Source organism: Homo sapiens, chromosome 1 (assembly GCF_000001405.40).
Source record: "Homo sapiens chromosome 1, GRCh38.p14 Primary Assembly".
Classification (NCBI taxonomy): Eukaryota; Metazoa; Chordata; class Mammalia; order Primates; family Hominidae; genus Homo; species Homo sapiens.
This window is the reverse complement of record NC_000001.11, coordinates 240,377,846-240,395,392: the sequence shown is the minus strand read 5'-3', so window position 1 is coordinate 240,395,392 and position 17,547 is coordinate 240,377,846. Positions and strand designations below refer to the sequence as shown.

The 17,547-nt window shown below is 36.6% G+C and overlaps 1 protein-coding gene across 5 annotated transcripts in view; it reads right to left on the bottom strand.

Moving 5' to 3' along the window:
* FMN2 (formin 2) overlaps nt 1–17,547 on the bottom strand; it is a 383,305-nt gene that overhangs the window by 79,795 nt on the left and 285,963 nt on the right. For all 5 annotated transcript variants that reach the window (NM_001305424.2, NM_020066.5, NM_001348094.2 and 2 more), the window contains one exon: nt 2,831–2,882. In NM_001305424.2, coding sequence (NP_001292353.1) covers nt 2,831–2,882 — 52 coding nt within the window. The remainder of the gene's footprint in view (nt 1–2,830; nt 2,883–17,547) is intronic.

Below are 17,547 nucleotides of genomic sequence, written 5' to 3'. Positions count from 1 at the left end.
AGACTTGAAAGTCAAAATTACTCCTTGATCCATGAGCTACAAAATGAATGCTGTGTTAGCAGGCATCGAAACGTGATTCTCTTTGTACATCTCCAGCAGAGCTCCTGGGTGACCAAGTGCATGGTCCATGAGATGTGATATTTTGAAGGCAATCTTTTCTTTTTTTCCTGAGCAATGGGTCTCAGCAATGGGTTTAAAATATTCAGTAAGCTATGCTGTAAACAGATGTGCAGGCTTTGTTGTTCCATTTATACAGCACAGGCAGAGGAGATTTGGCATAATTCCTATGGGCCCTAGCATTTTCAGAATGGTGAATGTGCACTGGCTTCAACTGAAAGTTACCAGCTGCATTATCCCCTAACAAGACAGTCATCCTGTTTTCTGAAGCTTCACTTTTTAAAAAATTTATTTATTTACTTATTTTTGAGAATGAGTCTCACTCTGTCACCCAGGCTGGAGTGCAGTGGCGCGATCTCAGCTCGCTGCAACCTCTGCCTCCTGGGTTCAAGCGATTCTCCTGCCTCAGCCTTCTGAGTAGCTGGCATTACAGGCATGCACCACCATGCCTGGCTAATTTTTGTATTTTTAGTAGAGACGGGGTTTCACCGTGTTGGCCAGGCTGGGCTCAAGGTCCTGACCTCAGGTGATTCACCCGTCTTGGGCTCCGAAAGTGCTAGGATTACAGGCTTGAGCCACCACGCCCGACCCTGTTCTCTGAAGCTTTAAAGTCAGGCATTGACTTCTCTCTAGCTATGAAAATCCTAGATGGCATCTTCTTCCAACAGAAGATGTTTCATCTACATTGGAAATATGTTGTTTAGCTACTTCCATGAATTATCTTAGATCTTCTGGATAGCTTGTAGCTTGTCCATCAGCACTTGTTGCTTCACCTTGCACTCTTTTGTTACAGAGGTTTCTTACCTTAAACTTCATGACCCCACTTCTACTGGCCTCAAACTTTTCCTCTCCAGTTTCCTCACCTATTTCAGCCTTCACAGAATTGAATAGAGTTAGGGCCCTGCTCTGGATTAGGCTTTGGTTTAAGGGAATTGAAACAGGCTCAATGGTCCCATAGAACTGATGTTTATGATTTAATTTGAATAAACATAGAAACTGACCCTTCTGGTCTTGAAACTTGAGAAAGTTACATTTGTCTTTTTTGAGTTCCTTTCTCCAGAAACCAACCATCAGGCTTCCAAGACAGTATCAAGGAACTGAAACTCACCAGATCATTGCATCTGGACAATGAGAGGCCAGACCCTTCACCCATTGTGACTGCCTAACCCACCAGCTGCTTGCTGCTGAGTACCTCCTCTTCCTTACCCCTCCCTAATTCCTGTTCTCCCACACATGGTTACATTTCTTCCCTGCTATATAAATCCCTAATTTTAGTTAGTCAGGGAGATGGATTTGAGACTGAGCTCCCATCGCCTCGGCTGCAGCACCCAATTAAAGCCTTCTTCCCTGGCAATACTCATCTCAGTGATTGGCTTTCTGTGTGGCAAGTAGCTGTGCTAAACCAAACCCCTGGCAACAGACTATTGTGTAACAGACTATTGTGGCTGGTTTGATCTTCTATTAAGACCACTTAAACTTTCCCCATAGCAGCAAGAATGCTGTTTTGCTTTCTTATCATTCATGTGTTCATTGAAATAGACTTTTAATTTCCTTCAAGAACTTTTTCTTTGCATTCATAACTTGGCTAACTGTTTGGCACTAGACGTCTAGCTTTGGGCATATCTTGGCTTTGGATATACCTTCCTCATTAAGGTTAACCATTTCTAGCTTTTGTTTTAAAGTGAGAGATGTGTGACTCTTTCTTTCACTTGAATACTTAGAGGCCACTGTTGGGTAATTAATTGGCCTAATTTCAATATTGTTGTGTCTCAGGGAATACGGGGAGGCCTGAGGAGAGGGGAGACGCAAGGGAACAGATGGTTGGTGGAACAGTTAGAACATACAATATTTTTCTATTACGTTTGCCATCTTATATGGGTCAGGTCATGGTGTCCCAGAACAATTACAATAGTAACATAAAAGATCACTGATCACAGATCACCTGTGGTGATAGATAATAAAAATAAAATGTTTGAAATATTACAGGAATTACCAAAATGTAACACAGAGACATGAGGTGTGCACATGCTGTTGGAAACATGGCACCGATAGACTTGCTAGAAGCAGAGTTGCCACAAACCTTCAATTTGTGAAAAAAAAAAAATACACTTATCTGCAAAGCACAGCAAAGAGAAGTGCAATAAAATGAGGTATGCCTGTGTGTGTGTGTTTATATCTGTATCGCCAGTTTGTTCTTTTTTTCTACAGAACCCTGACGTATATAGAGAGATGCGAGAAGAAGAGAAAATGGAGGCAGAAAAGCAGGGAGATTTCTGAGATATTTTCTATGTTTACCCATAATTGCAAGTCTCCATTCTGGAAATGAAGGTGCATCCAAGGGAAGCTCATCGCTTCCTACCTAGACTTCACTTTTGAATATGGAAATCACATAGTTTTTTTTTGATAACCCAAACTCTGAAACAGGTTCTTGCTATCTTCCTTCTTTTGTGTATTTCCATAGTTCTAAATCCCAGGTAAAAGAGAAGATGCTAAGCTATTCACAATAATTTGGTATTTAACAGAATTATATGTTACCCAGAATAACAAAAATAAAATTCAGAAATTCATTGTAGATTTAGAGCACACCATTTTATTAGATTTATTTTTGTTTTATGCTTGAAAATTAAAATTGAACTAAAAATTGGTTCCTTAAGATGAAATACACTTAGCATGTTATAACGCTATTCTGGGAGGAAATAAAGTAATTTCTCACCATTTATGAGTCTCTGTCAGTGAATTTTCCTCTGCCTCTTGGTCAATTTTGGCTGAAAGTGCAAGAAAATAAAAGTACATGAGATAAATGATAAGTTGTTACACTATTTCAAGCAACATCTGCCCTACATAACGTAACTTATTTTAATTATTAATTCTATTGTACTACAACCAGAAGCTTATTTCAAATCTATGGATGTCATAGATACATGATTTAAATGATTCTACTTAATTTTAATTAAGTTGATCTTATTATATTGACACAGACAAGATATATTATCTAATCAAAAATTTCAGATTCTGAAAAAATTTCTTTAACTCAGTCACATTAACCTGAGAAAAGAAAACACTAGTTTCATATTTACATCAGATGTGTCAGTGTTTAAATGCCAACAATTAGTGGAAATAATTCCCTCAAGCAAAGGTGTAAACACGTCAAAAAAAAAAACCCTAAACAGAAATGGTATGTGACATTTCTCAGTTATGTTAAGAATTTTGAACTCATTTCAATAGTTCATATCAGACCACAGGTGAACAGATCATGGTCTGTTCTGAAAAGGGGGAATGTGATAATATACCCATTTACTTGCTATCATTTTTATTTAAAAATAAAGAATTGTGATCTGCTACAAACCCAAAGGTCAAATTTAAGGAGATTAAATCAGTATTTCGAACTGCTTAAAATAACATAAGAACTCCATCACTTAAAGTATGGCTGTGACTTCATTTTTTTTTTTTGACAAGTAAGCATTCTAGGAATTATGTACTACTTCACCTTCACCCATTTCCCCATACCTCCATACATATTAATATATGTTTGACCTGAAAGTTTTGAAGATACTCTTATTTCATGCAATGCTCTCTGATATTTTTAGCCTATCTATCAGATTTTAAAACATTAGTTGGGACCTGCTAAACTGATTTCATGACTCACTAATGGTTTGTGACCCACAGTTTGAAAATCACTGAGTAACAGGACAAAAAAAAAGTAAAATGTAAAAAATAAATCCTGGGACTAGTTAAAGAAGAAGTTGTCTTTTTATTATCATTCCTCTTTGGGTCACATGTGGGGCCATTTGGAGAACTTAGGAGACACAGTGGAGCAGGGCAAATTGATTATAAAAAAAATGGGAACTGTGCATGAAATAAAACCCATGGTCACTCGAGAACTGTCAGTGTCTTTATCACTACTTACAACACAATAGTACGGCTTAGGCTAGTTCATGTTTTACAGCCTCAAGACAGTGTTCTTTCAAAGGTTTGCATGGTATCTGCAAAGTCATAACCCAGTGTCACGTTGCCACTCTTTGCCAGGATTTTCAGGATTTCACAGGGATCATTTCAGGTGGCAGCAGATACTTTTTTCTTTCTTTTCTTTCCCTTTTTGTATGTCAGATTGTTTGTATAAACTTACAGGTCAATTGTTAACTATATTAAAAAAAGAATGAATATCCTATGATTTTACTTTGAAAAGGCTCCAGCACGAACATATTGTTTTATACAAAATCTGCTCTGAGTTGCCTAGCATAAAAGATGATTTGCTTCCAGAAACAATTCTAGGAACACATAAAGTTTGTTTAGGCAAAATAACAAAAGCACTACAATGCATACTATTTTCAGGAAGGTTATTTTTTCAGTTGCCCTCACATATCTTTGCTTTTTCTTTGCAAAGTACAGAGATTCAGGCAGATTAGAAGAAGGAATTTCTAGACTATTTTAGAAGATTAAAGTAAATGATTTATGAAACTTAAAAACACACCACAGTAGAACAAGATGCCAGAGATCTGTATTCGATTCCTGATTTTGCCACTTAAATTAGCTCTGTGACTTTAGGCAGATTCATCTGTTAACATGTACAAAATACTTAGCACGGTGCCTCCAATAATCAGTAGAAACTTAATAGATAAATATCCTTGGAAAATTCTGGACCTGAAGATCTCAAAATTCTTAAAGTGATATCATACATAATGTTTAACTGAGTAAGTCAACTAATAATTATATTCCAATGTTATATTCAATAAAGAAAACACATACAGCTTTTCAAAAAGCATAAGCTCCTAAATTGTGTTTAGTGGAATAAAGTAAGTTTCATTTGTTCATAATGACTTCTTTTGATGTTCACCGAAACAGCTGTTGCTTAGTTGCGTGAGCAAGTTTGGCCGAAACAAAAACTTTAATCCAATTTGGCAGAAGACTGATTCTTATCGAGGGAACAAAATATAAAACCAAAGCTTCTTACCAAACCTAATAGCCATATCACAATCATAAAGACAAACTGGAATAAGAAAAAAATCTCTTAAAATGCTCTATTATACATTATTTTACATAGTTTTGAAGCTAACGGGATTTGGGTATTCAAACTGTAATCAGCTTTGATAAACAGTCAAATGAGAGATCAAAGCAAGAACATTAGAGTACACATTTCAATTCCTGATGTAGAGTCAACAATTCAAAGAACTGAACAGATTTCCTTTGTATACCAATCTCAGGAAAAACTTTCTGAAAAATTGGGGTGCAATTCCATTTTATGGAAAAACAGAGATACCCTTTTTCCAAGATGGTGTTTGCATAAATGCATCATCACTATTTTATTGTCACAATTTTATTTTTTTGAGACAGGGTCTCACTTTGTCACCCAGGCTGCAGTGCAGTGGTACAACGATGGCTCACTGCAAGCTGCAATTCCTCCTGTCATCCTCCTGCTTCAGCCTTCCAAGTAGCTGGGATTACAGGGTATGCCAACACACCTGGCTAAATTTTTCAATCTATTTTTTGTAGAGATGGAGGTCTCGCTATGTTGCCCAGGGTGGTCTCAGACTCCGAGGCTCAAGCAATCCTTCCGTCTCGGTCTCTCAAAGTGTTGAGATTACAGGCATAAGCCACCATGCTTGGCCAACAATTCTTTTAAACATACTTATGGTGTTAACTTAGTGACAACTGCAGGATGTGGTTGCTTTACATAGTGAGGGTGAACCTTCCAAACCAAAATAAAATGTAATTTAATCGGTGAAAATTAAGATATCATTTGGAATAAAACAAATCTGCCATTCATTTATGGAGCAAGCAAGCTAATTACATGCAGTGACCCCAATCAGACCAGCTATGCTTTTCAGTTTGAGAAACAACTTTTATAGGCTGTGTACCACCACTGTTATAAGCACAGACTTTCAAACATGACTTTGCTGAAGGTAACACAGAAAATAAGGTGATTTTCTATTTGCAACAACTTATTGTTATTTATATATATTTATACATGTATTGTTTTCTAGAAGTACAAAAAATATTTTCAGATAATCTCTAATGGCATAAATGGTTTTGCAGAGTTTTGAAAGCCAGTGTAACTTTTAGTAGCAGTTTCTTATGTACAGATAATCAACTATTAATAAACTTCATTTAAATAAAGTATGCCGAGTGAATTGCATACAAGAGATAAAAAAGATTTCAATTTTCTACTACAAGATTAACTTCCCAACTCTTTAGAGTAGACACCTCATTTCTTTTTGACATGATTCAAATGATCAGGATGGCAGATTTCCAGTCATTCATAATCAAGATAATTATAGGGTAGCAAAAGCAGCATTCAAAATAGACAAATAGGCACAAGGCTTGGCTGGTGATCTTCACATTGTCATCAAATCACCGGGCTTTCTGTGCTACTGTCGCCCAGCAATGCTTGACCCCCCCCCTTTTTTTTTTTTTTTGAGATGGAGTTTTGCTCTTGTTGCCCAGGATAGAGTCCAATGGCGAGATCTCGGCTCACTGCAACCTCCGCCTCCCAGGTTCAAGTGATTCTCCTGTCTCAGCCTCCCGAGTAGTTGGGATTACAGGCGCATGCCACAACACCCAGCTAATTTTTGTAGTTTTAGTAGAGATGGGGTTTCATCATATTGGTCAGGCTGGTCTCGAACTCCTGACCTGAGGTGATCCACCTGCCTCAGCCTCCCAAAGACCACTTTTGACAGAAACATTTTTATGACGCCTAATGGACATCACTGGCCAAGGGCATCCCAGATCTCTGAGAGCAATCACCTCTCCTCCACCTCGGACCATAAAAGCTACACTTTTTTGTAAATGCTTATACTTTGCAAGGTCTTTCTCACACTCTGCCTCTCATCTTCAGATCCCACAAGGTCCAGTGTTGGGAGCTAGAACATGAGCTTTAGTCAGGCAAACCTGGGTTTGAATTGTAATGCAGCCACTGAATTGCAGTAGATTTTAATAACTTTGAATAATCGCTTCTTTGATGTAATAACTTTTATTCATCATTAAAGCAGGGTAATAATTTCTTTTTCATTGAGTTGTTTCATGATTTTTTTTTTTTTTTTTTTTTTTTTTTGCTTTGAGCACCACGTTTTTTTCCTAGTCTTTTTTTTTTTTTTTTTTTTGAGATGGGAGTCTTGCTCTGTCGCCCAGGCTGGAGTGCAGTGACCCGCTCTCAGCTCACTGCAAGCTCCACCTCCTGGGTTCACGCCATTCTCCTGCCTCAGCCTCCTGAGTAGCTGGGACTACAGGCACCCGCCACCACGCCTGGCTTAATTTTTTGTATTTTTAGTAGAAACGGGGTTTCACCGTGTTAGCCAGGATGGTCTCGATCTCCTGACCTCGTGATCCACCCGCCTCGGCCTCCCAAAGTGCTGGGATTACAGGCATGAGCCACCGTGCCTGGCCGAGCTGTTTCATGATTTAATAAGATAATGTATAAATCACCTGGTGTCTAGTCATCCTCTTCCTGTCTTTCCTTTATGCCCACATCAGTATTACTACAAAGTAGGATGGAGATGCATTGCTTGCAATATGTGAAAAGTCTTCCATTGTAGGAATCTCACATATTTCCTTGTTAATTTTTCTATACAGAATCCAGATGTTGAATTAAAAATATACTTTGCTAAAATAAGGTTGCCTCTTTACAGCAACAGAGAAATTATGGCCCAAGACCTTTATAAAACCACGGGATTGCTTTAAAATATATTTAATAGATTTTATTTCTACTTAATTTGTGTGTGAAGTTGTTTTAATTGGCATAGAATGGAGAAGTCCAATGCCTACAGGATAAACACAGAGGCTAATAGCTCCTTAGTCCCCTCCCCACTTTTTAAAGACATAGCAGTAAATAAAATTGCTACAAGGGATAAGATAATACTTCATGTGAATTTAGTGAGAACCTGATGAAATCTAAAAGAATGATTTTTAAAAAATGCTTAATCCTCTTCTAAAGCTCACCTTTTTATTCCAAACATACTGTGGGTAATTATTCATAGCTTGGAGTTTGAGATCCACTGCCAAGGAAAATGTTCCGAGATAGAGTCTACTGAAAATAGAAGTAGTAGCGGAGTAGAGTGATAGTAAAATAAAGCAATCAATTCTCTACTGACACTGGAGGAAAGGAACAGGATGATGTAGTTTAAGAAAAAAGGCAACAATGAAAAGTGGTTTATAATGACAATATTCAGAGAATACCAGTAACTCTTATTTGAATAGACCTAAAATTGCAGCTCCTTAGGGAAGTTGATCAATTGCTGCACCTATTATTTTAGCAATGATGTTTCCCCTTTTGCCCACCCCGCAAATCTCAAATGCTAGAGATCTGCAGTTTGAGGCAAAGAAAGCCTGTACTTGGAACCATACAATAAAAGAAACACCAAATGTTTTAGGAGGCAGCCTTTATTTATTTGGTTAATTCTCTTTCCATCTATTTATTCTAGAGTTAAGGGCATAAGATTACCTTTTAGGTCTGATCCTACCAAAGAGACCATCGGCTCAGACAGTCCTGTGCCACTGAACATGAAACTGATTACAAATAGTGATTTAATGGTTCTGTTACAGCATTTTTGCATTTGGTGATATCTTCTCCAACGGCACTAATATATCCGACTCCACATTTCTACCTCCACAAATACTTTCTGGTGGTTGCTGTCCTACTAAGTTACTATTTTGACCCAGTGATTAGTGTCTGTAGTCGCTGTCTGGCTCCAGACTCTTTCGCAATGTGAAATACTTCTGCTGAACTTGTTCCAAATGGCTATGAGTAAGCAAAGACACGAAATGGACGCCCTTTCTGATCTTGAGCTTTCATGAGGGAATACCACATATTCCCAGGTAATTGGAGACAGAGTTGCATTTGAGTAATATCAGATGGAAGGCAACTCAGAACCCTTTCATCTGTTTGTCTAGGCTCTAAATCTTTTTGCTATTTTTCCTTTTTATTTAAAGTGTTAACTAGTTTTTGTTTATAATTAGCTATGAATGTGCATTCCAGTTGCTTTTAAGTGCAGCCAGTATGGGATATTTTTTAGACAGATGCAGTGCCTTTCTTCTGACTCATTTAAAGTTGTCATTTAACTGAAGATATATTGCCTTAGTTTTGAGATTTTTGACACACTCTTCCTTTTGACAATGAACTAAAAGTCAGGTAAATTTAAGTAGTTCATACATGTCACAGTGCATGACTTTCAGAATATCTTTCCTTAGACTGCAAGAGAAATAACTAAGTCCCAATGCATCTTCCTTCTCTATGCTGTGCATGTTCTTAGGACAATAAAACAATGTTGTGGAATACTCCTAGGAGGAAGAAAGAGAGCATTTGAGGCATAAAATGTCAACCTGACTTTTGCAATAATTTACAGCTACCTTTTATTTAATACTGAGGGTTATTTCAACTTTGTACATAAATATATATATATATCATTGTGCCTCTAGAAATATAGGTGTATATAAACATATGGGGGCTAGTTATTAAAAACTCAAGAAACATATACATAATAGAAAATGACACATACTTTAAAAATTCTATATGTGGCTTCCAGCCAAACATAAAATACAGGAAAGCCGTGTGCTATTATCACCCAGCCTGATGTACGTATTGAAGTGGTCCTCAGTGAAATTCCTCTCCAAATCTTCGTTTTAAACCCAAAGTAGAGAAGACATGGGAAAACATAATACGCATCCACGAGCTAGACAGTACAGTAGACAGTACAGTCTAAAGGAGCTGGAACAATTTTCCAACTAGAAAATTGCTAACTCAAACTAAATTTTTATATCAAATCATACCCAAATCTATATATTACTCTACCTACAGGCTAAGCAAATCTCTCCTGGACTTTCACTAATGTAGCATAGAAATAAAGACATGCCTTGGGCCAATTCCTTTCCTTTTTCTTTGCTAAGAGACAACTACCCTATTGAAGAATATAAATGAAGCATACATACTTACTAATACCAGGCTGAACTTAAATAAAAATCCTTCGGATAAAACGAAAACCTCGTTGAGCCTTTAACTAAAAATAAGTAAATACACGCATTAGGGCTGAGCTTTCCATATTGAAAGCAATACCAATTAATTTCAATTTAGGGATTCAAACTATCAAAACACAAAACTGCTGGAAACAAAAATAAGAAAGCCAAAAAAACTTCTGATGTGTTTCTTTTCTTCCTAATCTTACTTGCCAAAACAATGCTTAAAGCCTAGGTCATTCCAATCCTACAGACAAAAGCCACATAATTTAACATTACAATATTTCAGTCAACATTTGAATGTCTAGCTTTGTTGGGGACTCATATGCAGGTAAATATTACATAGTTTTTTCCTTTAAGAAAATGGTAGATGGAGAGAGAGACAAATAATCATACATGTAGATGTTTTAGAGATGTTTAAATGGGAATGTTAATATGGAATGATGTTGATATTACTATTCTAATTCTTTACATATAATAACCCAAGATAATAAAACCCTGTAAGAAAGGGTTTATAATTATTCCCACTTAAAATCAGGAAATTAGCAATTAAAAAACTTGATTTAGATTCCAGAAACACTAAATAAATGAGACAGGATTCCAACTCATGGAGTCTGACTCCAAAGCCTTAACACTGGCAAATTAGTTATGAGTACAGTTAAGTGAAACATCCATTTGCCTATCGAGAGAGAAGTCAATAAGGAAAAGACAAAGGCAATGCAGGGTGAGTTGGGACTAAAATGATGAACAAGTCTTAGTCAAGTAGAAAAAGGAGCAGAGACCGGAGAGGGTAAACAATGAACAGTGGGAAAAAAGACACAGAAGCAAAGGTGCACCATAGTTCGAGATGTCAAGAAGAAAGATAAAGGAGACAAAACTGGAAATACAATGGAAAAGAGCTGGCAAAAATGCTGTGCAGAGGCAGCACCAGCCTCTCATGGTGTGATCATACAACAGGCAAAGCAAAAGAGGCTGAACTGTGTTCATTTTATTTATTTTTGCCTAGAATATATTTCTTTCTTTTAAATATTATTATTTTAGATTCTGGGGTACATATGCAGGTTTGTTACATAGATATATTACATAATGCTGAGGTTTGGGCTTCTATTGAATCCATCACCCAAATAATAAACATGGTACTCAATAGGTAGTTTTTTGACCCTTCCCTCCTCTTCCTCTTCCCACCTTTGGAGACTCCAGGTCTATTGTTTCCATCTTTATGTCCATGTGTAGCCATTATTTAGCTCCCACTTGAAAGTGAGAACATGTAGCATTTAATTTTCACTTTCTGTGTTAATACGCTTAGGATAATAGCCTTCAGCTGCATCCATGTTGCTGTAAAGGACACAATTTTATTCTTTTTATGACTGAGTGGTATTCCATATATATATGGTAGTACACATAGTATAGTAGTATTCCATATATAAAGAATATATATATATATATTTTTTTTCTTTCTCCAGTCATCTGTTGTGATGCTGTTGATGGATACAGGTTGATTCCATGACTTTGCCACTGAGAATAGTGCTGTAATAAACATATGAATGCAGGTGTCTTTCCTACACAATGATTTCTTCTCTTTTGGGTAGATACCAAGCAATGGGGTTGATTGCTGGGTCGAATGGTAGTTCTCCTTTTAGTTCTTTGAGGAATCCCCAAACTGTTTTTTGTAGAGGTTGTACTAATATACCTACCAACAGTATATAACTATTCCCTTTTCTGCACATCCATGTCTACCTCTGCTGTTTTTGGCTTGCTAATAATAGCCATTCTAACTGTTGAAAGATGGTATCCCATTGTGATTTTAATTTGCATTTCACTGATGACTAATAATGTTCAGCAGTTTCTCATAAATTTGTTGACTACTTATATGTCTTCTTTAAGAAATGTCAACTTTTTAATGGGATTGTCTTCTTCTTGTTGAGTTGTTTGAGTTCCTTGTGGATTCTTGATACTAATTCTTTTTCAGGAGCATAATTTGCAAGTATTTTATCCCATTCTATAGGTTGTCTGTTTACTCTGTCAATTATCTCTTCTGCTGTGCAGAAGCGTTTTCATTTAACTAAGTCCCATTTATCTATTTTTTATTCTGTTGCATTTGCTTTTGAGGTCTTTGTCATAAATTCTTTGCCTAGGCCAATGTCCAGAAGAATTTTTCCTAGGTTTTCTTCTAGCATTTTTACAGTTTCAGGTATTACATTTAAGTCTTTAGCCCATTTTGAGTAAAATTTTGTATATGGTGAGAGACTGGGGTCCAGTTCCATTGTTTTACATATGGCTATCCAATTGTCCTAGCACCATTTATTGAATACAGTGTCCTTTACTCATTGTTTATTTCTGTCAGCTTTGTTTAAGATTGGTTGGTTGTACATATGTGGCTTTGTTTCTTGGTGCTCTATTCTGTTCTACTGATCTATTGTGCCTAATTTTGTACCAGTACCATGCAGTTTGGGTTACTATAGTCTTGTGGTACAATTTGAAGCTACAAAACGTGATGCCTGTTTTTTTTTCTTTTTATTTAAGATTACTTGGTTATTCAGGCTCAGTTTTGGCTCCATATGAATTTTAGGATTGTTTTTTCTGTGAAAAATGATGTCGGTAATTTGATAGGAATTGCACTTCTGCAATTTTGTAGATTGCTTTGAACAGTATGGTCATTTTTTTTTTCTTTTTGAGAGGGAGTCTCACTCTGTCACCCAGGCTGGAGTGCAGTGGCACGATCTCGGTTCACTGCAACCCCCGCCTCCTGGGTTCAAGGAATTCTCCTGCCTCGGCCTCCTGAGTAGCTTAGATTACAGGCAGCCACCACCACACCTGGCTAATTTTTGTATTTTTAGTAGAGGTGGGGTTTCACCATGTTGGCCAGGCTGGTCTCGAACTCCTGACCTCAGGTGATCCGCCCTCCTTGACCTCCCAAAGTGCTGGGATTACAGGCCCAGCCGGTATTTTAATGATGTTGATTCTTCTGATCCATGAGTCAGAATGTTTTTTCATTTATTTGTGCCATCTACACAATTTCTTTCATCAGTGTTTTGTAGTTCTCCTTGCAGAGATCTTTTACTTCCTTAGTTAAATATTCCTAGGTGTTTTACTTCTGTGTATATGGCCATTGTAAATGGGACTAAGTTCTTGATTTGGTCTCAGTTTGAATGTTAATCGTGTACAGAAATGATATTTATTTTTATACATTTATTTTGTAACCTGAAACTTTGCTGAAGTCATTTATTAGGTCTAGTTATCTTTTGGAGGGATCTTTAGGGTTTTCTAGGTTTAAAAGATCATGTCATCAGTGAGGAGAGATAATCTGACTTCTTCTTTTCCAATTTGAATGTCTTTAATTTCTTTTTCTTGCTTGATTGCTTTGGCTACAACTTCCAGCACTATGTTGATTAGGAGTGGTGAGAGTAGACATCCTTGTCTTGTTCCAGTTCTCAGGGAAAATGCTTTAATCTTTTCCCCATTCCATATAATGTTGCCTGGGAGTCTGTTGTAAATGGTTCCTATTTTGAGATATGTTCCTTCAATGTCTACTTTGTTGAGGGTTTTTATCATGAAGCAATGTTGGATTTTACTGAATGCCTTTTCTGCAGCTGTTAAGATGATTGGCCAGGCAGGGTGGCTCATGCCAGTAATCCCAACACTTTGGGAGACCCAGGCAGGCAGATCACCTGAGGTCAGGAGTTCAAGACCAGCCTGGAAAACATGGAGAAGTCCCGTATCTACTAAAAATACAAAAATTAGTTGGGCATGGTGGCGTGTTTCTGTAATCCCAGCTACTCAGAAGGCTGAGGCAGGAGAACCGCTTGAACCTGTGAGGCAGGGGCTGCAGTGAGCCAAGACCTCGCCACTGCACTCCAGCCTGGGTGACAGAGCGAGAATCTGTCTAAAAAAAAGAAAAAGGATGATCATATGGTTTTTTAAATCTCTTTGTGTGGTAAATTATTATTTATTGACATGTGTATGTTAAACCATCCTTGCATTCCTAAAATAGAACCCACTTGATGGTGATGTATAATATTATCTTTTTGATGTGCTGTTGGATTTGGTTTGCTAGTATTTTCTTGAGAATTTCTGCATCTATGCTCATCAGAGATATACCCCTGTGTGTTTTGTTTTCTGTTGTTTCTGTTGTTGTGTTCTAGCCTGATTTTGGTACCAGGGTCATACTGTTTTCATGAATGAGTTACAAAGGAACACCTCCTCCTTGATTTTTTTGAATAGTTTTAATATGCTTGGTTCCAACTCTTTGTATATCTGGTAAAATTTGGCTGTTCATCTGTCTGGTTCTGGGCTTATTTTTGTTTAGAGATTTTTTTAAAAAAATTACTGACTCAATTTCATTACTTGTTACTAAGTTTTCTAGTTTGTGGGCATAGAGATGCTCATAATAGTCTCTGATGATTTTTGTATTTCTTTGGTATCAGTTTGTATTGTTACCTTTATCATTTCTGATTGTGCTTATTTTAATCTTTTTTTCCTTGGTTAATCTAGCTAGTGGTCTATTTTGTTTATCGTTTCAAAGAGGTAACTTTTTGTTTTGTTGATCCTTTATCATTTTTTTTGGTCTCAATCTCATTTAGTTCTGCTCTGATCTTTGCCATTTCTTTTTTTTTTTTTTAACTAGTTTTGAGTTTGGTTTGTTCATGCTTTTCTAGCTCCTTGAGATGCAATGTTACATTGTTAATTTGAGATCATTCTGTGTTTTTTATGTAGGCATTTAATGCTATAAACGTTCCTCTTAGCACTGTTTTGCTGCATCCCAGAGGTTTTGGTATTGACCAAGGGAAAAAAGTGGAAATATTTTCCCACTAGTTTAAATTTAACACAATTTATCAGTTCAACAGGATTTAATTATCCAAAATATATATGTACCCAGTAGCAGTTGTATCTAGTTTCATTCATTTCAAAAAACCTTTTGATTTCTACCTTAATTTTGTTGTTTACCCAAAGGTTTTGTAGGAGCAAGTTGTTGAATTTCCACATGCTTGTGTAGTTTTTTGAGAGTTCCTCTTGGTATTGATTTTCAATTTTATTTTACTGTGGTCTGAGAAGACACTTAATATTATTTTCATTTAAAAAATTCATTGAAACTTGCTTTTTGGCTAAGCACATGGTCAATTTTGGAAAATGTTTCATGGACAGATGAGAAAAAATATATGTTCTGTTGATGTGAAGTAGAATATTCTATAAATGTTTTTCCATTTGGTCTAGAGTCCAGTTTAAGCCCAGAGTTCCTTTGTTGATTTTCTGCCTTTATAATCTGACTAATGTTGCCAATGGTGTATTGAAGTGTCCCCAAATTACTCTATTGCTGTCTATCTCTTGTCTTAGGTCCACCAATATGTTTTTTTAAATGAATCTGGGTGCTCTGCTATTGGGTGCATATATATTTTGGATAGTGAAATCCTGTTGACCTGATGAATTGTGTTAAATTTAAACCAGTGGAAAAATATTTCCACTTTTTTTCCTTGGTTAATCTAGCTAGTGGTCTATCTATTTTGTTTATCATTTCAAGAAACCAACGTTTTGTTTTGTTGATCCTTTATCAACTTAATTGAAGTGGAACTTCCACTTAATTGAACTTAATTCCGGACTTAATTGAAAAGAACCAAACTTACCCTCCTGCTGTAATTAACTAGAAAAATGTATTTAATATATGAAACTGTTTTCATATACTGAAAAATAAGCAGTATAGGAGTCTGATCTGTGTAGTGCCCTTCAATCTTCCTAGATTTCTGTCTAAAAGCAATTTTAAAATCATAGATGCTAGAAAGGAGACCCCAAATAAGCCAACCAGTTTTGCTGAGTTGAGGAAATACAGATAGAAGTCTAGGTAGGCTGACATGACTAAAAGATGAGGAACAGAGTTCCAGAGAGGAAATACTTTGCAGAAAAGAAGGATCAAAAATCTGCATTAAGCTTTCTGACTTTTAGCTGGGTATTAAGTGGCACCTGTATACAGTAAAATTATACAAGTACAAGCAAAGAACCACCAAGAAAATATAAGCTTAACAATTCCCAAAGCTTTTACAGGGCCAAAAGATGTTCGATGTCTAAAGAGCCAGAGTGGAGAGCTGTCACTGATCACAAGAGACAGGATGGTCTTGGAGACCTCAGTGGGGTAGGTAAATTATTAGTAAAACCAAATTATCACTGGCATGAAGGATGCCCCAGACTAGCCTAAGCAAAGCTTAAAAACAAGCCTTAAAGGGATCAACTGAGTCACATGTTGTTTAAATTATCTGCCTAAAGAAAGCCAAATATTCTAAAGAAATGCACAAAACCTACACACCCAACAACATAATGTGCATAGTGTCTAGCACTTAATAAGAAAATTACTAGACCAACCAAGTATCAGGAAAGCGCAATCACATTCTTTAAGTCAATAGACACAGACCCAGGAATGACAGGAGATGAACCAGCAAATAAGGATATTAATACGAATGTAGTTTTTTAGTAACCACCCTCAAATATTAAAGAAAAACATGAACATAATGAGAAGAAAATGGATGATATAAACAAAAGAACTCAGTGGAACTTGTAAAGTTAAAAATACAGTATCCGAAATAAAAAGTCCACTGAATGGAAATCACGTAAGATTAGACACTGCAGAGGAAAATAACAATAAACTTTAAGATGTAAAATTTGGATCTATTCCAACTGAAGCACATAAAGGAAAAGATTGAAAGGAGAGCAGAATATTGATGAACTGTGACATTAGTAAACATTCTAGCATAATGTATCATTTTAGTCCCAGAACAAACCGAGAGATGGAGACAGAAAAATCACTGAGGGGATAAGGTTCAAAAGTTTTCCCAATTTGATACACACAATAAACACCTAAATCCAAAAGCCCAATTAACCTCAAGAAAGAGAAAAACACAGCCAGACATGGTGGCTCCCACCTGTAATCCCAGTACTTTGGGAGGCCGAGGTGGGTGGATCACCTGAGGTCAGGAGTTCAAGACCAGCCTGGCCAACATGGTGAAACCCCATCTCTACTAAAAATACAAAAATTAGCTGGGTGTGGTGGTGGGCACCTGTAATCCCAGCTACTTGGGAGGCTGAGGCAGGAGAATCGTTTGTTCTTGGGAGGCGGAGGTTGCAGTGAGCCAAGATCATGCCATTGTACTCTAGCCTGGGCAACAAGAGTGAAACCCTGTCTAAAAAAATAATAATAATAAAAAATAAAAAAAAGAAACAAAAAAGAAAGAGAAAAACACATATACACATATACCAATGCACATCATAATAAAAATCCTATAAACTAGCAATAGAGGTAAAATTTAAAAACAACCAGAGTTTAGATGGGGAAGGAGTGGGGAAACACATTTTATAACAAGTAACAAAAATATAAATTCCCAAGACTTTGTGGTAGGCAGAATAATGGCCCTCTAAAAATGTCCATGTCCCAATCCCCAGCTATGAATATGTTATATTACATGGGAATATAATATAATAAATTATGGGGGAATTAATTTATTAATC